Source organism: Homo sapiens, chromosome 3 (assembly GCF_000001405.40).
Source record: "Homo sapiens chromosome 3, GRCh38.p14 Primary Assembly".
In the NCBI taxonomy this organism is placed as follows: Eukaryota; Metazoa; Chordata; class Mammalia; order Primates; family Hominidae; genus Homo; species Homo sapiens.
The window spans coordinates 179,980,897-180,002,678 of NC_000003.12; the positions used below are offsets into that span (position 1 = coordinate 179,980,897).

The window sequence follows — 21,782 nt, forward strand, 5'->3', positions numbered from 1 at the left end:
ACCTGTAATCCCAGCTACTCAGGAGGCTGAAGCAGGAAAATTGCTTGAAGCCTGGAGGCGGAGGTTGCAGTGAGCCGAGATTGTACCACTGTACTCTAGTCTGGGTGACAGAATAAGACTCCTTCTCAAAAAAAAAAAAAAAAATTAAAACAGCAGAGTCTCAAGGATGCACAGCCAAATCCAAATCATATCCATCACTTTATCACAAACACCAACTAATGCCTTGCTTGATATAAAAATTATTACTGCTAATGAGGAGGATGGGGTGGCTGGAACAGAGTTGCCCAGGGTTGTGGGGGTTGATCCAGACGAGGCTGGAGAGGAAGGCCAAGTCTTGAAAATCACATTAAGGTGTTTGTTCTTTATGTTAAGAGCAATGTGGAGCCATTGCGGGGTTTTAAGCAAGAGAGTGACGTTATCAGATATGTGCTGTAAGAAGCCCACTCTGGCTAAAGGGTGAGGAACGGATTGGAGGAAGGAAGGCTGGAGTCAAAGAGAGAAGTTGAGAGCCATTGAAGTGGTCAGTGCATGACAGCCTGGAGCCTGTTTAGACGCTGGTTGACAGATAGCTGACCCCACACCAATTTTATAATGACATGCTTCATTCATCACTTTGTGTATCATGAGATTACTTTTTCAACACCAGCTTCTCTAGGTGATAAAAGCATCTATATTTTTCTGTAGTCAAGAATTAAATTAGCAGAGTATGGGCCTACAACAGACACATCCTAGGCACTCAACTTAGTAATATGAAAAATTATTTTTGAAAAAATTCAATGAAACAAATAATGAGAGAAAGAGAGAAAAAAACTTGGGCTAACAGGAAAAAATTTTGTGCTTAGTGAAGGATGCATATTTTTCCATTCTGTAAACAGTATCTAAACTGTTCTTGTTGTTTCATGCTATTTGAAAAAAAAAACAAAGGGAGTCTGTTTAAAAAGATACAATGTGAAATTGTTCAGTGCTGTAGAGCATCTAACAGGATTTATTGTGTTTTTTTGGACAGCAACAACAGGAACTATTTATGCAAATCTAAGAACTAACTGCCCAGGGAGTATAAAATATTGAAAAGAAATATATTTACTTAAATGTATTTGAGGATATCATCAAACCTAATGTGTTTTTAAGAGAATTGAGGTGGCATATTTAAAGTGTGTTTAAAGAACTAGTTGATTCCCTTGCATTTCACTTGTTTTTAACGTATCAGAGGACAAAACCTTATAATGGGGAAAGATTGGCAAGGTAAGGTAGAGTAAGGGACACTTGATCATAATGTTTATCCTCTTATTCAAAGTTTGTAATCCTCTCACTCAATGTTATCCGCTTACTCAAAGTTTGATTCTTGCTTCTTAGTGAGACACTTTTGTTCTTAATATTTAAAAATAATAACGTGTTACATGCAAAATATTGAAGTATGTTCAATTACATGTAAGCACACCTCAGAGTTACAGAATGGACTTATGTCTACAAGATCACAGTATCCCAGTGAATATAGATGACTACTGACGATCTTCTTCCATTTGCACTTTTAATCTTTGCATCTTTCCTGTCTTTCTTCTTTAGAAATCAAATCCCAAATCTTAGGTGCTTCAATTAGGGAAATTGCCAGAAAATTTTACAGAGACAATGGGAAAGATTTCTTGAACAATGCAGACCAGAAAAATTTCAGTGATGAGGAGCATGAAGCTAGTATTAACTTGAGAGCACTGTAAGAGTTCCTTTGATGACTCTTCTTGCAATCTCTGATTAATATCCCACAGTGAAAAATGTATTGGTAATATACTGAGAGACAGAAGAATGACTGATACTTAAGGACTATAAGTGCATCTTTAGAAGTAGACACAGGGTTTAACGAAAAGTCTTTTACAAACTGCATTCTTATAAAATTGTCCTGGGTAGGTGAGTGTGGGGATTTTAAGGAGAGATGAAGCAAGGCTTTAGTAAGGAGCATCTAAAATGCCATGGATGGTACCATGTCCTAAATAGAGAAAAGCCTTTTTAAATGATCAAAGTATCATTTTTCTTTTAAAAAAAACCACTAAAAATCTTAATCATGTATACAAGTGTACCTATTACATTGTAGGTATTTAGTAAGTTTTTTTGAATAAAAGCATTTGCTTTATAACAAAAAGGAAAATATTATTTTCACTACTCTTAATCTCCCTTACTGTTTCTTGCTGATGCTATTACAAAAAAGTTGTATAACTACTTTCAATCTATTTTTATACATAGATACATGTATGCATGCATAAATATACATATTTATATGTAAGTATACCAATATATACATATGTATTTAATGACATGAACATGACTATAGTATAAATACTACTTTTTAATAAAAAATAAATTGCGACTACCTTTTCATATTAATACACATATATCCACCTTACACATCCAAATCTACCTTAAATTAATAATTTTTATTAAGAAAATTCAAGAAATCCTAGAAACCATCAGAATAAAGAATCTACTTAACACTTAAGAGACAATAGCACATAAGTATTGTCTGCAGAACCCTGATGGTTCTTCAGAAACTTTGAAGGGAACTGTGAAGTGAGAACTATTTTCTTAATAGTACTAAGAAATTGTTTGTCATTTTCATTGTGTTGAAATTTGCACTGATGGTATAAAAACAATCTTGTTAGCACCTTGGCATGAATCAAGATACTGGCACCAAACAATACTAGTTGGGAAATAAATTAGCCACTTAAAAAAAACTCCACCATTTTTACTTAAAAGTATGACAAGCTATGATTACTCAAACTTGGGACCCTGGCTTTTTTTCTTTTTTCCTGAAAATTAATGAAAGAAGTCATTAATTTCAAAGAAAACAACCAATAATGTTTGTTGCCAAAATTAAATAGATGAATGAAAATTAGAGATTTAGAAACTTGAATCAGCCACTGTGAGCTCAATAGCTTCTCAATAGTTAAAGACGTTTCTGATGAGATCAGTAGTGACATGAATGAAGTGTTTTTTGATATTGTATAATGAAGTATGACAACATTGGAAGATATGAACCAATGAACCAATCTCAGTGAACCAATATTTTTCAAATGACCAACACTAGAATGTTACCAAAATCATGCATGAGTTAAAGATCCATTCAAAGTGTAAGGGAGACCAATGGATGTTAACATAAAGAGTGTACCAAATTTATTAATATGACTTCAGATTTCACAGTGCTACTAAACCTCAAGAAATTACATTTCTCAAGTTTTGGTGTAGTATGAAAGAATATCCACAGTTATTTAAAAAGGCTTTTAAAATACGATTTCCTTTCTCAACTGTATATTTGTGTAAAGATTTTTTTTATTCCTATATTTCAATGGAAAAATCTACTGCAAAAGATTAAATGCAGAAGCAGATATGATAGTCTAATTTTCTTCTATTAAGCTCTTTTATTAAAGAGATTTGCAAAAATATAAAACAATGTCATACATCTCACTAAAATTTTTTTTTGGAAATGAAGTTTTTAAAAAAATTGTGTATGTGTGTATACATGTAATGAGTTGGTTACTGCTATTTTTCAATGATTGTATAAGTAAATAGTTAAAACTTTGCTTAATTTTTTTCTAATCCAGTAAGCGTGAACAGATATAAGCCACATAAACAAAAGATCTTTGGGGTATTCAATAATTTTCAGAAGGATATAGACGCATGGAGACAAATGTTTGAACCACTGCTATTCTAGAAATAATGTAAACTTTTTCTGAGTTGGTAGAAAAATTAGCCTTTGGAAAATTAATTTTTGTTTTTCCTTTCTCTAATAATTATAAAGTCAATTTGTCTTTTTTAGATTCTCATGGAAAATTCCATAATAGACTATGCCAAAAATTATCTCATTAGCCTTATGATAAATAGCTCTCTGTTGCTTAGTATATATCTGAATTGTATTTAATGATACTAGCTTTAGTGCTTACAAATACTTATATTTGAGTTATATCCTTTAATCTTCATAGGCGATTCCAGGAAGGTAGGTATTTTTCTCCCCATTTATACTGAGGAAATGAATTTTAAGAGAGAAAAAGTGCTTTGTCTATCTAGAAAGTGCTTGAACACAAAATCAAATGCAAGTCTGCTAACCTTGTGTTCCCGTGCTCTTTTTTTACCTTTGGATGGAAAAAAATAGCTTTTTGGTTATTATCAACGTAGACTATGCACTTCTGCTCTTGTACAATCAAAGCAAGGGCTGAGTATTGAGACACCTTTTGGATTTGGGCACAGCTCCTGACTTCTTTTCTCCTAGGCCATTTCATCTTACAAGGATTACAGGAAATAATATATTCCAAGGCCTCTAGAACAGTGCCTAATATATAATGGTCTCTGTTATTATTGTTTTTCATGATTAGCATAACAACATAACTCTGTACATGGCCAGGGTAGCTTTGGCTTCATCCAATTCAAGCATGAAAGGTCATCTCGGTCACTAAGACAGAAATAGAAGAATGGCATATGCAAAAGCTTCAGAACAATTCCAGGTCTGAACAATAACCAAAATGCAGGCTTTTCCAGGCTGGAAGCCAAAGCTCATTCTGTATATGCTATTGATCTACACCTCAGCTCTATATTCAAATTTAGGGGTGACCAGATAGGTCAAAAGGTCACTCTTCTGCTTGCCAGGACTGGTTCAAACCAGCTTTGAGTAGCTGCTGGATATCACCACCTTTAATCACTTCTTCCCTGTCCTGAGCTGAGGCTGCTGGAGCCATATAAAAACCCTTGAGAATCCAAGCAAAGCCAGTCCACCTTAGCTTAAAACCCCCTTTTCCCCTTATTTTCCTAGTTTGGGTCCTGTTAGCTTCACACCTGAAGCCTCTCTCTGCCCAGTACCTTCAGAATAATGTGCCATTTGAATGGTCCAGATGGATCTTGATTAATACCTCTCTGGGGGCCTTTCTGCCTCCCCTCAGTCCCATTTTGGGTGCGCACGAGGAAACTGCTTCTGACCCAGGCTTCCAGTCCACTCTTGTGGAGGCCGCACTCGGGCTAAAGAGGTTTACAGTGTGCAAGCAGTGAGTGAGGCTTCCTGGTGGCCCATGCAGAGTCCTTCAACTGCTTGGCATTCAGGGGCTATACTGGTAAGATGTGGCTGGATGTGGATGTTTCTGCAGGAAGTAATTGGTTAGTGGAGGAATATTAACGGTATTGATCTGGCTCTCTCTGCACATTGATCCCAACGTAGTATATGTACATATTGATACCTAATAAGATAATAATGATAATAATAACTGACATTGATAGGAACAATCTCATGTAATTTAAAATATATATATATATATAACTTTATGTTTATGCAATAATAATAAAATGAGAATGATCCACTAAACATTGTGGTTTGTTATAGTAAATTTACCCTGGGGAGGATGCTTTGCTATGTGCTAGGATGAAAAGTTTGCATATTTTATCACATTTCATTCTTAGAATAATTCCTTGAGTTTGTTTGTATTTTCCTTGGTTTCCAAATGAGGAAATGGAAAGTCCTAACCATTTAGTAATTTTTTTTTTTTTTTTTTTTTTTGAGAGGGAGTCTCGCTCTGTCACCCAGGCTGGAGTGCAGTGGCGCGATCTCGGCTCACCGCAAGCTCCGCCTCCCGGGTTCACGCCATTCTCCTGCCTCAGCCTCCCGAGTAGCTGGGACTACAGGCGCCCGCCACCACGCCCGGCTAATTTTTTGTATTTTTAGTAGAGACGGGGTTTCACCGTGTTAGCCAGGATAGTCTCTATCTCCTGACCTCGTGATCCGCCCGTCTTGGCCTCCCAAAGTGCTGGGATTACAGGCGTGAGCCACCGCGCCCGGCCAACATTTAGTAATTTTTTTTCAGGATCGTTTGAAAGGTCACACAACCTATAAATGGCAGAGCAAAATTAGAACTTAAGATTTTCTGACACTAAAGGTTAGATTCTTTTCAGCTCAGCCCCCTGCCCTCAGCATATTTCCATTTCATTGAAAGTTCGAATAACATAATGCAAAAATACATATTTGATTAAATAAAAAGAAAAATATCAAAAGGTCAACAGCTCTTTATTACTTTTTTAGACAAACTTTCAACTCAAGAACTTGAGACATGTAATGGAATAAGTAAGAGGTCAGTCTCTGAGGTCATGTTGCTTGGTTCAAAGCCAGGTCTGCTATGTACCAGTTGTATGGCTTTGAGCAAATTGTTTACCTTTCTGTGCCTAAGTTTCCTCATTTGGGAATAATAACAAAACCCAGCTCCTTCAGTTGTTAAGAAAAAAAAATTAATTAATACATGTCAGCTGCTTAGAACACTGCTTGACATATTTAATAGCACTCATTAAATATTATTAGCTGATATCTTTTCCTCCCTCCCTCCCTTCATTTCCCTCCCTTCCTTCCTTCCTTTCTTCCTTCCTTCCTCCTTCATTCCTCCCTTTCTCTTCCCTCCCTCCCTCTCTCCCTCTCCCCATTTAAAAGGTTGAATTAACAATGTGTAAACAACTAAACAATCTTTCTAGCAAGTTAGAAAAACGCACTAAAGATGGCTCAGAAACTCAATATTGAAGTTTTGGGGGTGCTGGGATTTAAAAATAGAACCTGGTGAGAAGCAGTCTTGCTGTGTCAACTCTTAGAATTCTGTATTAAGAAAATCCAGAAAAGCTTTATTTTAAGCAAACTCTGAATGGCTTAGCTGCAGTTCATGGATACATCAGAACATTCCCTTGATGGTTCACTTTCTTGTGAACTTAAAATCAAGCAGCATGAAGAGTTCTAGTTCTGGCCTGACCAATCCTCCTACCCCCAACCTTACAAAAAGCCAACTGAACCAAACTCAGGTGCTGCTAAGTAACTGGAGCAGAACCCCAGCAGTGAACCTTCACTGCCAACCATTTTGAAGTCCACCTCTTTGTTAAATCTTCTTTTAACACAGACTGGATTTTTTATAGTATATTTCAGGGATGATGTAAAATATTAAGGATACAGAAAAAGAATGACTGCAGATGGTGGATTTGGAAAGTGGGTAGAGAAGAACTTTGGTTTGTGTCAAATCAGGGTTCTAGCCTTGTTTTGATCACTTTTTTCTCATAGGGCTTGCCATTTCAACTCTTTTGAGCTCAGTTTTTCCCATATTCAAAGGCTTGTACCTTTGAGGTACCTGAAGACCAGACGATCTTTCACATTGTTAATCCTATGATTTCATTTTTTAGCTATTGGAAAGTCAGTTCATTAGTAATTTTGTAGTGATTAAAAAAGAGGGCTGGGCATGGTGGCTCACGCCTGTAATCCCAGCACTTTAGGAGGCCAAGGTGGGTGGATCACCTAAGGTCAGGAGTTTGTGACCAGCCTGGCCAACATGATAAAACCCCATCTCTACTAAAAATACAAAAAATTAGCCGGGTGTGGTCATAAGTGCCTGTAATCCCAGCTACTCGGGAGGCTGAGGCAGGAGAATCGCTTGAACCCGGGAGGCAGAGGTTGCAGTGAACTGAGATCATGCCACTGGGCGACAGAGTGAAAATCTGCCTCAATAAATAAATAAATAAATAAATAAATAAATAAAATAAAAAAAGAAAGAAGAGGTCCATTGTTAATTAAAGCAAGAAGCTAACCCTGATAAAAATATACCATTAACCCAAATACCCAGGAGGATTTAGTGTCTTCTACCAGCTGTTATGTACACTTCCCCCACATCTGTTAAACTTAATATTTCATAATAACCAACTGAAATGGTGGCAACAAACCCAAGTCTCCATTCTAATGCAACAAATAAAAGTAGTTGAAATTGGATGTGTAAATACGTTTCTCAAGAAGGAACTTGCTGGTGCTCAGTTGTCTTTAAGTGTGTATGTAAACACCTGCTTTAGAAAAACTAAGCAGACAACAAGATGTAGAATTCACTGAAGATACATTTGTGGAGACACAAATGTAGTTAGGAGTTAAATCATAGGTAACAACCCTGAAAGAAGGTAGCAGCACAAAGAATGGAATTGCCAGGTTTTGGCAAGTTGGGCATTGTAAAGAAATAAACTTGGATATATATTCAAGTGCCATTTTTGGAGATTATTTTCTGAAAAATCAGTAAAATGCCATTATCAAGATAAAACTTCAAAATGCAAGTATACATATTGTCTCACAAAGAATGGGGGATGGACTTGGAATGCTGATTCTAGCATTGGTCTTGGAATTGACTGACTTCATTAGCAATATCTTGCATAGACCTTCAAGGAAACAGAAATCCGTGGTAGGGATAATTCTGAGGCCATGGAACAGAGCTAAGTTGTCTGGTTCTACCCACTATAGGCAGACAGGGACCATGGTCTGGCATCTTATATGTATTCTTCAGCATATCTAGGAAAGTTTAGATGCTTCGTAGAATTAAGAAGTATCACCACGATCTAGGAGAGCATGATAATACTTTAAAATGAGACTATCTCTACTAATGATTGACTGTTTTGAACAGAGTTCCTATATTTAGGTATAACTTTTTCAGAAATGCTCACCATGCTTAGTTTACATATTCAACCTTCTACTTAAAAACCTCTCATGACATATGTGATAGATATGGGATTTCCTCTTTTATTTTTAGTAGAAAAATAAAAACAGAAATGTCAGATAACTAGTTTACAAAATTTATCCATTTATACATTATATTCCTACCATACTAGCTATGTTATGAGATGCTTAAAAGTATTATTTTCCTTAATGACATAATTGACATATTTATATCTCAATGTAATGATATAAAGCAATTGTAATTTATATCATTTGTAATGATATAAAGCAATTTTTATTTCCCATAAACTTGGCCTTATGCACTTAGATTATGAAAATGATTGATTGAGAATAGTGGCTTATTCAATCAACTTTGACACAATTATTCCATGAATATTGTTTATCAAAAGAGTAGTCACCTAAAAGAATTACATAAAAAATCAAGTTTGGCTGTTTCCACAGCATATATCAATTCAAATGATAAAAGTGTGATTTGTGTATCAATATAGAGGTGCCCTGAAGTTAAGAATATGTTATTTTATACCATAAAATCACATTCAGGTTTTGCCACTTTCCGATAAACTCCTTACCACATATTTCCCAACATTCACATGGAGGGCACTTATTAAATTATAGCATTAAATGTTGCATAGTTGAGCTGAAAATTACTTATAGGTACAGATGATAGTGCTTAGTTGATAAAAGTCAGTACATCTTTATTTCAGTGCTGCCATGGCCAGTCAGTACCATTGGATCTTGTGCCAGTTACTTAATACATTTAAACCTTCATTTCCTCATATGTAAGGTGAATGGATCAGATGAGATTATTTCTAGTGTCTTCCAGTCCCACTATTCTATGCATCTATGCTTATAAAAGCATGTTTCTTTGGTCGCATTTAGAAATTTCACATAGGTACTTTAATCATTTGCACTAGAGAAAAGATCTTGGCCCATGTCTTTCTTACATATTTCCCCCATATTTTAAAGTAACATGAAATTCCTTTCATTAGCTCCTATTTCTCCTCACGGTATGTCATTCTGATATCTTTTTTTTTTCTTTCAGTGATAGGGTCTTGCTCTGTTGCCCAGGCTAGAGTGCAGTGACATGATCAATGTTCACTGTAGGCTCAACCTCCCAGGTTCATGTGATCCTTCTGCCTCAGCCTCCCAACTAGCTGAGACTACAAGTGCACAGCACCACACCAAACTATTTTTTAAAAAAATATTTTGTAGAGATAAGGTCTCAATATGTTTCCCAGGCTGGTCTTGAACTCCTGGCCTCAGGTGATCCTCCCACCCCTGCCTCCCCAAGTGCTGGAGTTGCAGACATGAAACACTGCCCCCAGCCCATTCTGATATCTTTACTGTTGGTTGTTAGTACCAATAATTCCTTGAGTGCTTACCTTGTCCCAGGAACATTGCTCAGCATTTTACTTACATTATTTTGTTTAATTTTCACAGACTCCTGAGGTAAGTACTCTTATTATTCTTATTTTATTGATGAGGCAACTGAAATGTAAATGTGCTGGGTATATTTCCATTAGCTCACTTGGCTAGTCTGCTTTGAAGCTATGATTAAAACCTGTTTATATAATTCCTATCCCCATGTATAAACAACTCTATAATACCCCCAATGGACACAGGATGTGCAGCCCATTATCCCTGAAAAAATCTGGGGACATGCCTAACACTTAGGAACCACCACACTCCTTGCATTCTACATGTATTCCTGAGTGTAGCTGAAAACTCTGGAGACTCCTGGCAGCCTGCTTCCTCACCTCCACGGAGATAGCACCAAACCGACTTACTGTCTTTAACCTGACTTGGAGCTCCCGGATGCTTGCCCATTTGACCTCTGGTATCTGTTGATTGTATAGCACTGGGGCAGGCCACAAATAATTTCAAGTATGTGCTTATTGCATCCTGGATGCACTGTCACTCCAGCTCATCAGGTTTTACAAGCATAGTCGCAAGGCCAAGGTGACTATATCTACTGCAGACTCATGCTGTTTTATAATAGCTGGATCCTCACAGCTGCTGGGCAATTTCTTATCATCACTGCTACAAAGATTGACCCCTTTTGCCAACCAGAGCTCTTTCTTCTTCAGGATGACCTGGCTGCTTTCCTGAGCTGCCCAAGGTCTCAGCATCCTTTTTTTTCCCCCTCTACTCATCTCTGGGTGTTTACCCTCTGGTTCTTTCTTTTTGTCTATTTTTTAGGAGAAAGCATTGTCTGGCAGGATGAAGCTCTTTACCTGTGGTTCAGATCTCATTGCCCTCACATTGATTTTGCCACTTTGCTTCACCAGCTATTCATTCACATGCGTCTTCCATCTCTGACTCTCCCTCAGTTCTTTCCCTCTATGTATAAACAGGCATAGCTCTTCTTCTGTCTAAATAATTTCTAACACTATACCATCCATTCTCTTTCTCCCTGTCTCTCTTTTCTCTTTAGAAGACATGATGTTCCTTTTCTGTTAACTTTTCAAGAAGATAAATCATAGGTAGACATAACAAAGTATATTTTCTTAGCTTTAGTTATTTATTTGATACAAAAAAATCAAATCTAGGCTCATTCCTAGTTCCTAGATATTTAATTCCCATGGCGCTTATTTATAAAAGTAGCATATTAGACATTTGTTTTTGTTCTTAAAACATAGAAGGAGACAATACTGATGTTATCTCCTGAGCCCTACTTATGTGTGAGGGTCTGTGAGTCATAGGCATGAATCAGACCCCAGAGAACAAATAGTCTAATCATCAAAATGAAGACAGAGTAGAGACACAGAAAGCAGATATACCCTGATGTGACACTATATGCAATATATTCTTCCCAGCCTCATAGAAGTGTCCAAATTGTTAGATTGCTTAAGATTTGGTCATGCCAGGTATATTATTTAATTTTGAAAGCCAAAAGGAATCTTAAGAATATTTAGTCTGACTTTCATTCCCCCATGTTACAGATAAGAGAAAAAAGGAGGCTCAAGAAAGGTTGAATGATTTACTTAACGTCACACAACTTATTAATGACAGAGTTGGTGCTAATCTAATCTACAGTGCTCTTTTTATTTTATCAGGATTAAAAAATCTCTTCAAAGCTTCATTTTAGCGGTTAGCATAATTATGATGCATGGTAGGTGCTCACAAATGTTTGTAATGCAGATGAGAAAAATCAATGACTGTGTGTTTTTTAAACACTGAATTTTATGCCAGAGCTGGAGTAGGTAAAACAGAGATGCAGTGGAAACGTAACAGATGGCTCCCACTCAGAAAAAAGTACTGTGTGTAGCATGTAAGTCCTCAATAATTATTTGTGGAATAAATAAAATTTCCAGAAATGGAGCAATTAAAGAACAAGTATTAAATTATGTGGAGCAGCGCACACGAATTTCAAGATGGTTAAGAAGCATGTGAGATAAAATCATAATACAAGAAGACTTCAGAGGGAATTCATAAGACTTTATGAAGAAGACTTCATAAAGTATTTGATTTTTGACCTGGTTCTTTGCATGTATGTATGTATGTATGTGTCTATGTATGTATGTATGTATGTACATATGTATGTATTTTTCCTTGCAGAACGCACAGTCTATAACTTAGTTTTTAGGTGATGAAAATAAGATTTAGTTAAAAGATTGTATAATCATTTTTACTGGGTGTGGATAACACTTAAAAAAAAACTCCCCCCCGTTATTACAAGAGTAACATGTTCACTATAGAAAATATAGATAAGAAAAAGAAGGAAAGAAAGAAAAACTAATATAACCACCAGCAAGAGTTCACTGTTCACATTTTGGTGTATGCTCTTCCAGAGTTTATATAATTGTCTGTTTCTTTGATTTCCATTTATCTGATTACTAGTCAATTTGAGCACGTAATTAATAAGTTTTTCATCAATTTGCACAAGTTCTTTGGCAAAATGCCTACTCATATCTTTTGCCCATTTTCCTATTGAGTTTTTGATAAATACAGAAATGATTTTCTTAGAAAGGGATCATAGTGTGTACAATTGTCCCTTGGTATCCATGGAAAATTGGTTCCAGGACTCCTCATAGATACCAAAACCTGAGGATGCCCAAGTACCTTATACAAAATGCTGTAGTATTTGCATATAACCTATGCACAACCTCCCATATATTTATTTTATTTTATTTTTATTTTTCAAGATGGGGTCTCACTCTGTCACCCAGGTTGGAGTGCAGTGGCATGATCTCAGCTCACTGCAGCCTCCACCTCCCATGTTCAAGTGATTCTCCTGCCTCAGCCTCCTGAGTAGCTGGGATTACAGGCACACACCACCACACCCGGCTAATTTTTTTTGTATTTTTAGTAGAGATGGTGTTTCACTATGTTCGCCAGGCTAGTCTCTAACTCCTGAGCTCAAGTGATCTGCCCGCCTCGACCTCCCAAAGTGCTGGAATTACAGGCATGAGCCACCGCATCCGGCTTTCCCATATACTTTAAATCATCTCTAGATTGCTTATATCTAATAATAGTCACTATTCCCTAAATAATACAGAAACACAGGAAAATAAGTCTGTACATGTTCAATGCACACACTTTCTTTTTCAAATATTTTCAACCTGCAGTTGCTTAAGTCTACAGATGCAGAACCCATGGATACCAAAGGCTTACTATATATCATTTTATAATTGCTTTTAAAATTTAATATATTATGAGCCTTCTTCCTGTAAATATGTGTAGTTCCACAATGTCACTTTCAATGTCTGTGTAGTGTTACATAGTTTATCTCTAATGGTGGACATTCAGGTTTTTAGATCAGTTTGCTGTTGTCCAGCTTGCCAACTGCCACCCAAGGAAAGCTATCACAAGCCGAGCCATTCCAGACCAGAAGAATCACCCAGCCATCCCATAGATAAATGGGAAATAACAAATGTTTGAAGTTTAAGCTGCTACATTTTTGGAAGGTTTTTTATACATTAAAAGTTAATGAATGTGAATTCTGACCTTCAGATTAACCTTTGCCAGCTTCTAGTGTGTGATGTCTTCTGGTTGTGGGAATCCACTCACTCAAATCTTCTAGCAAAGTGCTCCAAATATTTTTCCATGGCCTCTTTGTTACCCCTCCATTTTTATCCAGCTCCTCCTCCTGGGCTATCTTTTGTCCCTCAACCCCTCAGACACCCCTTATCCCAGAGTAAAGTGTTTAGGGCACACTTGACACCCCTGGATAGGGCCAGAGGGGCTGGGCAAGTGAAGGGAGTCATCATCCACTGGCTGGAAAAACCATGTACATAAATGTGATGGTTAATACTGAGTGTCAACTTGATCGAAGGATGCAAAGTATTGATCCTGGGTGTGTCTGTGAGGGTGTTGCCAAAGGAGATTAACATGTGAGTCAGTGGGCTGGGAAAGGCAGACCCACTCTTTATCTGGGTGGGCATCATCTAATCAGCTGCCAGCGTGACTAGAATATAAGCAGGCAGAAAAATGTGAAAAGACTATACTGGCTTAGCCCCTAGCCTACATCTTTCTCCCGTGCTGGATGCTTCCTGTCCTTGGACATCGGACTCCAAGTTCTTCTGTTTTGGGACTCGGACTGGCTCTCCTTGCTCCTCAGCTTCCAGATGGCCTATTGTGAAACCTTTTGATTGTGTGAGTTAATACTTAATAAACTCCCATCTATATATATGTAGTTAGTGTGAGTTAATACTTAATAAACTCCCCTATATATATATATGTAGTTATATATATAGCATAGAGAGTATATATATAGTATATATATACACACACTATATATACTATATATATACACTATATATACACACACTATATACATACTATATATACTATATATGTATATACACTATATACTATATATAGTGTGTATATATACACACACTATCTACATAGTGTGTATATATATAGTATATATATTTTTTATATATGTATATAGTTCTCTCCCTCTGGGGAACTCTGACAAATACAGATCTTGGTAACAGGAGTGGTTCTAGAGGAACAGAATATTAAGGATGGGGTTCTTTGGTTGGTTTTGGGGTTTCTGGAGTTGGCTGCTTAATATGATTAGACCCCAAAATGCCAAGGACTCTACTTCTAATAATATGGAGAACACTGATAGTCCTTAGTGTGAAATGTTTAGAGAGTTATGCAAAATAAATGCATTTGACACTCCTGATTCACTGCTTGTGAGAGGCAAGCTGTTTAGTGACTCTATACATAATACCTCTGACCATATGTGGAGAACCAAGGAACATGATGAAGCTTGTTTGTTGCTCCTTAGTTCAGTAGACAAAGTGATGAAAGAAACTGATGAACTCAGGGATTCTAACTCCCGGCTTCAGAAGCAAATAAGACTCATATCTACTAAGATTGCCCTGACTGAGAGTCTTATCTCCTGTAGAGAATGAGCTGAAATTGTAAAAAAACAGACACAAGCTCTTATGAAGCAAGTGGCTGACCTGCAACGAAAGGTGCATGCACAGCCTCTCCAGGTGTCTACTGTTAAAGTGAGCGCATTGATTGGAAAAGAATGGGACCCTGCAACTTGGAATGGGGACGTGTGGGAGGACCCTGATGAAGCTGGGGACACTGAGTGTGTAAATTCTGATGAACCTTTTTTGCCAGAAGAAACAGCTTCCCCATTCCCGTAAAGTGGCAACATCCCCTTTCCAACCCACACTGCCATCAGCCTTTCCACCTTTGTCTGAGGAGATAAACTCTGCTGCCTGAGGTAAGAGTGGTGGCCTCCCTTGAGGTAGTTGCCAAGCAAGATAATGTTGATTCTCATCAGGAGCCACCCCCAACACCCCTGTTAGCTTCTAGACCTATAACAAGGCTAATGCCCCAGCAGGGCCCTAGAGGTGAGGGTGAGGAGGTGTGCTACACTCGAAAAGAGCTGCTTGAGTTTTCTAATTTATATATGCAGAAATCTGGAGAGCAGGCATGGGAATGGATATTAAGGGTGTGGGATAATGGGGGAAGGAACATAGAGTTGGATCAGGCTGATTTTATTGATTTGGGCCCACTAAGTAGGGACTCTGCATTTAATGTTGCAGCTTAGGGAGTTAAAAAGGGTTCTAATAGTTTATTTGCTTGGTTAGCTGAAATATGGATTAAAAGATGGCCCACTGCGAGTGAGCTGGAAATGCCTGATTTCCCTTGGCTTAATGTAGAGGAAGGGATCCAAAAGCTTAGGGAGATTGGGATGGTAGAATGGATAAGTCACTTTAGGCCTACTCATCCCAGCTAGGAGGGTCCAGAAGATACACCCTTGACCAATGCCTTGTGAAATAGATTTGTGAGGGCAGCACCTGCATCTTTGAAGAGCCCTGTAATTGCTCTTCTCTGTATGTCACATCTAACCATGGGAACTGCAGTCACTCAACTACAAAATTTAAATACAATGGGAATAATTGGATTGCAAGGTGGCAGGAGCCAAGTGGCAGCTTTCAACCAACAAAGGCAAGGTGGGCGTAGCTACTGTAATGGACAGCAGAGGCAAAGCAGCAATCAGAATAGTCTGACTCATGTAGAGCTCTGTCATTGGCTAATTAATCATGGTGTTCCTAGAAGTGAAATTGATAGGAAGTCTACCGCATTCCTACTTAATTTATATAAGCAGAAAAATTCCAGGTTGAATGGACAAAAGACTAATTTGAATTATAAAAACAGAGAATCATAGCTCCTCAATCAATTTTCAGACTTGAGCCAGTTTACAGACCCAGACCCCTTGAATGAAGGGGAGGCTGGGTCCCCCTGAGGAAGGATCCCACTACATCACCAACAATTTATGCTGTTAATCTTTCTCCTATCCTTCCCCAAGGAGACCTCCAGCCTTTTATCAGGGTAACTGTGCACTGGGGAAAGGGAAGTGATCAGACATTTCAGGGACTACTGGACACTGGCTCTGAGCTGATGTTGATTCCAGGGGACCCAAAACAGCATTGTGGTCCTCCAGTTAAAGTAGGGGCTTATGGAGGTCAGGTAATTAATGGAGTTTTGACTTACAGTGGGTCCAGTGGGTTCCCTGACTCATCTTGTGGTCATTTCCCTAGTGCCAGAATGCATAATTGGCATAGACATGCTTAGCTGGCAGAACCCCCACATTGGCTCCCTGATTGGTAAGGTGAGGGCTATTATGGTGGGAAAGGTCAAATGGAAGCCATTAGAGCTGCCTCTACCTAGAAAAATAGCAAATCAAAAACAATATCACATCCCTGGAGGGGTTGCAGAGATTAGTGCCACCATCGAGGACTTGAAAGATGCAGGGGTGGTAATTCCCACCACATCCCCATTCAACTCTCCCATTTGGCCTGTGCAGTAAATGGATAGATCTTAGAGAATGACAGTGGATTATTATAAGCTTAACCAAGTGGTGACTCCAATTGCAAGTGCTTTACCAGATGTGATTTCATTGCTGGAGCAAATTAACACATCTCCTGGTACCTGGTATGCAGCCACTGACTTGGCAAATGCCTTTTTCTCCATTCCTGTCCATAAGGCCCACCAGAAGCAATTTGTCTTCAGCTGGCAAGACAAGCAATATACCTTTATTGTCCTACCTCAGGGGTATATCAACTCTCTGGCTTTGTGTCATAATCTTATTCAAAGAGACATTGATCACTTTTCGCTTCCAGAAGATATCACACTGGTCCATTACATTGATGACATTATGCTGATTGGATTCAGTGAGTAAGAAGTAGAAAACACACTGGAGTTATTGGTGAAACATTTGTGTGCCACAGGATGGGAAATAAATCTGACTAAAATTCAGGGACCTTCTACCTCAGTAAAATTTCTAGGGGTCCAGTGGTGTGGGGCCTGTCGAGGTATTCCTTCTAAGGTAAAGGATAAATTGCTGCATTTGGCCCCTCCTACAACCAAGAAAGAGGCACAATGCTTAGTGGGCCTATCTGGATTTTGGAGGCAACACATTCCTCATTTGGGTGTGTTACTCAGGCCCATTGATTAAGTAACCCGAAAGTCTGCCAGTTTGGAGTGGGGTCCAGAACAGGAAAAGGCTTTGCAACAGGTCCAGGCTGCCGTGCAAGTTGCTCTGCCACTTGGGCCATGTGACCCAGCAGATCCAATGGTGTTTTAGGTGTCAGTGGCAGATAGGGATGCTATTTGGAGCCTTCGGCAGACCTCTATAGGTGAATCACAGAGGAGGCCTCTAGGATTTTGGAGCAAGGCCCTGCCATCTTCTGCAGATAACTACTCTCCTTTTGAGAGACAGCTCTTGGTCTGTTACTGGGCTTTGGTGGAAACTGAACGTTTGACAATGGTTCATCAAGTCACTATGTGACCTGAACTGCCTATCATGAACTGGGCGCTTTCTGATCCATCTAGCGATAAAGTGGGCCATGGACAGCAGCATTCCATCATCAAATGAAAGTGGTATATACATGATCAGGCTGGAACAGGTCCTGAAGGCATAAATAAGTTACATGAAGAAGTGACTCAAATGCCCATGGTCTCCACTCCTTCCACCCTGCCTTCTCTCTTCCAGCCTGCACCAATGGCCTCAGGGGGAGTTCCCTATGGTCAGTTGACAGAGGAAGAGAAGACTAGGGTCTGGTTCACAGACGGTTCTGCAGGATATGCAGGCACCACCCAAAAGTGGACAGCTGCAGCACTACAGCCTCTTTTTAGGACATCTCTGAAAGACAGCAGTGAAAGGAAGTCTTCCCAGTGGGCAGAACTTCAAGCAATGCACCTGGTTGTGCACTTTACATGGAAGGAGAAATGGCCAGATGCTTGATTATATACTGATTCATGGGCTGTAGCCAATGGTTTGGCTGGATGGTCAGGCATTTGGAAGAAGCATGATTGGAAAATTGGTGACAAAGAAATTTGGGGAAAAGGTATGTGGATGGACCTCTCTGAATGGTCAAAAACTGTGAAGAAATTTGTATCCCATGTGAGTGCTCACCAATGGGTGACCTCAGCAGAGGAGGATGTTAATAATCAAGTGGATAGGATGACCTGTTCTATGGACACCACTCAGCCTCTTCCCCCAGCCACCCCTGTCATCGCCCAATGGTCCCATGAACAAAGTGGACATAATGGCAGAGATGGAGTTACACATGGGCTCAGCAACATGGACTTCTACTCACCAAGACTGACCTGGCTACAGCCACTGCTGAGTGCCCAATTTGCCAGCAGCAGAGGCCAACACTGAGCTCTCAATATGGCACCATTCCTCGGGGTGATCAGCCAGCTACCTGGTGGCAGATTGACTGTATTGGACCTCTTCCATCATAGAAAGGGCAGAGGTTTGTCCCCACTGGAATAGACACTTACTCTGGATATGGGTTTGCCTATTCTGCATGCAATGCTTCTGCCAAGACTACCATCCATGGAATCACGGAATGCCTTATCCACCATCATGGTATTCCACACAGCATTGCCTCTGACCAAGTCACTCGCTTTATGGCTAAAGAAGTGTGGCAGTGGGCTCATGCTCATGGAACTCACTGGTCTTATCATGTTCCCCATCATCCTGAAGCAGCCGGATTGACAGAATTGTGGAGTGGCTTTTTGAAGGCATAATTATGAAGGCACAATTACAACGCCAACTAGGTGACAATACTTTGCAAGCCTGGGGCAAAGTTCTCCAGAAGGCCATGTATGCTCTGAATCAGCGTCCAATATATGGTACAGTTTTTCCCACAGCCAGGAGTCACGGGTCCAGGAATCAAGGGATAGAAGTGGAAGTGGCACCATTCACCATCACCTCTAGTGATCCACTAGCAAGATTTTTGCTTCTTGTTTCCATGACATTACGTTCTTCTGGCCTAGAGGTCTTAGTTCCAGAGGGAGGAATGCTGCCACCAGGAGACACACAATTTCATTAAACTGGAAGTTAGGATTGCCACCTGGACACTTTGAGCTCCTCCTACCTTTAAGTCAACAGGCTAAGAATGGAGTTACAGTGTTGGCTGGGGTGACTGACCAGGCTATCAAGATGAAATCAGTCTACTACTCCACAATGGAGGTAAGGAAGAGTATGCATGGAATACAGGAGATCCATTAGGGTGTCTCTTAGTATTATCATGCCCTGTGATTAAGGTCAATGGGAAACTACAACAGCCCAATCCAGGCAGGACTACACATGGCCCAGACCCTTTAGGAATGAAGGTTTGGGTCACTCCTCCAGGAAAAAAAACCACGACCTGCTGAGGTGCTAGGTGAATCAAAGGGAATACAGAATGGGTAGCAGAAGGAGGTAGTCATCAATACCAGCTATGACCACGTGACTAGCTGCAGAAACAAGGACTGTAATTGACATATTTCCTCCTTCTTTTGTTAAAAACATGTTTGTGCATGTATATACTTGTACTAAGAAGATATGTTGATTTTATTTCCTTTTTCCCTTATCACGTGACATCAGATTTATTGATTTCATACCAGCATTTAAGTATTGTTAACTTTATGTAGTAATATTTAGGTTGGGGATTGGTGCATTTCTGGTTGTACGAGGATAGTTGTATTATGTTAGGTGTAATTATGACCTTATTATTGTCTTTATTGAAGATTATGTGTGATCTCAGGAGATATGTGTGGGTTCAAGTTGACAAGGGGTGGACTTGTGATGGTTAATATTGAGTATCAACTGGATTGAATTGAAGGATGCAAAGTATTGATCCTGGGTGTGTCTATGAGGGTGTTGCCAAAGGAGATTAACATTTGAGTCAGTGGGCTGGGAAAGGCAGACCCACCCTTAATCTGGGTGGGCACCATCTAATCAGCTGCCAGCTTGGCTAGAATACAAAGCAGGCAGGAAAATGTGAAAAGACTAGACTGGCCTAGCCTTCAAACTACATCTTTCTCCCGTGCTGGATGCTTCCTGCCCTTGAACATCGGACTCCAAGTTCTTCTGTTTTGGGACTTGCACTGGCTCTCCTTGCTCCTCAGCTTGCAGATGGCCAATTGTGGGACCTTATGATCATGTGAGTTAATACTTAATAAACTCCCCTTTATATTCATATATATATATAAAATAAAATATATAATATATATGGATATATAGAAGATATATATATATATCATATTAGTTCTGTTTCTCTAGAGAACTCTGACTTATACACCCACCGTCTCTCTGATAAAAACGAACTTGGTAAATAAACTCTTTGTGCACATGTTAAAAGAAAACAAATTTTTTTTTTGTTGTCATTGCTCATAGAGGAACGCTTCAAACCATATATTTGTAGCTAAACCTATGTACACATCTTTTGGACAGAGGGTTGATAAACAGTGTTCACTACATTTATTTTTCATTGTGCTTTCAAGTAATAACCTGTGAATTTTATTTGAAGTCATTAAGTTTTAATCATTTTTAATAAACTATTTTATGCATATGTTTTATACACATATGCAACTTGACATAAATGCTTTACTGGGGTAATATCATATGTGCTATTTTTATAGTTTAGTCTTTTCTTTTTTGCTTACCTACCCTTCCTGCTTCCCAGTACATTTACATCATCAAATACACACTTATCCATCCATGAATAATCAACAAGATAATGTTTATTTTATCTATATTATCCATAGTCATAGCCAAACACACATATTTGTAGGTAAATATATTTAACCATATACATATAGACGTTAGCTGGGGTTGTCGTTATTTTACAAGTAGTATGATATTGCACTTACTTCTTTGTACTTGTTTTTCATCTCTCAACTATACTTCAAGAACAACCACCTAAATCCATCTTCATAGCTCTATTTCATTCTTTTTAATGCCTGCATGTTATTCTAGGTATGAATGTACCATGAACTTCTCAACTTTTTAAAAAATACGAGCATTCCTTTGGTTTCCTTTTTCTCCTAACTGAACAATGCTGCATTTAGTATCTTTGTGCATATTTCCTTAAGTTCTGGTTGCTTTAGTGCCATGTGATAGATTCCTAGGGATGAGATTGCTGATTAGAAGAGTGTATTTTTTATTTAAAAATTGTTTTACGATGTTGCCAGGTTACAAGCTTGCTGACTGCCACACAAGCCTTTCTTAGTTATGCCTTTTCTCCTATTCTTGACAGAAACAGGTATTATTACTTTAAAAATATTTTTAAGTCTGATGAGTGTAAAGTGATATCTTTCATTGCATTTCCCTAACTATTAGTTAATTTGATCATCTTGTTATATGTATTGATCATTTGAAGGTTCTCTCCTAGAAAATTCCCATTTGTATATTATCCCCAGTTGTAAATTGTGTTTTGGGTCTGTTTATGGGCAATTTGTGAGAACTTTTTGTATAGTATATCCATTTACTCTTTGTCAAATGTGTTGTAAATATTTGTCCAAACCTGTATTTTTCTATCAATATAATCCTTTT

The 21,782-nt window shown here is 38.6% G+C and overlaps 1 protein-coding gene across 14 annotated transcripts in view; it reads right to left on the reverse strand.

Annotated features, from left to right (window-relative positions):
- The window catches only part of PEX5L (peroxisomal biogenesis factor 5 like), a 241,980-nt gene that overhangs the window by 185,939 nt on the left and 34,259 nt on the right, over nt 1–21,782 (reverse strand). The gene's annotated exons all lie outside the window — the stretch shown is intronic.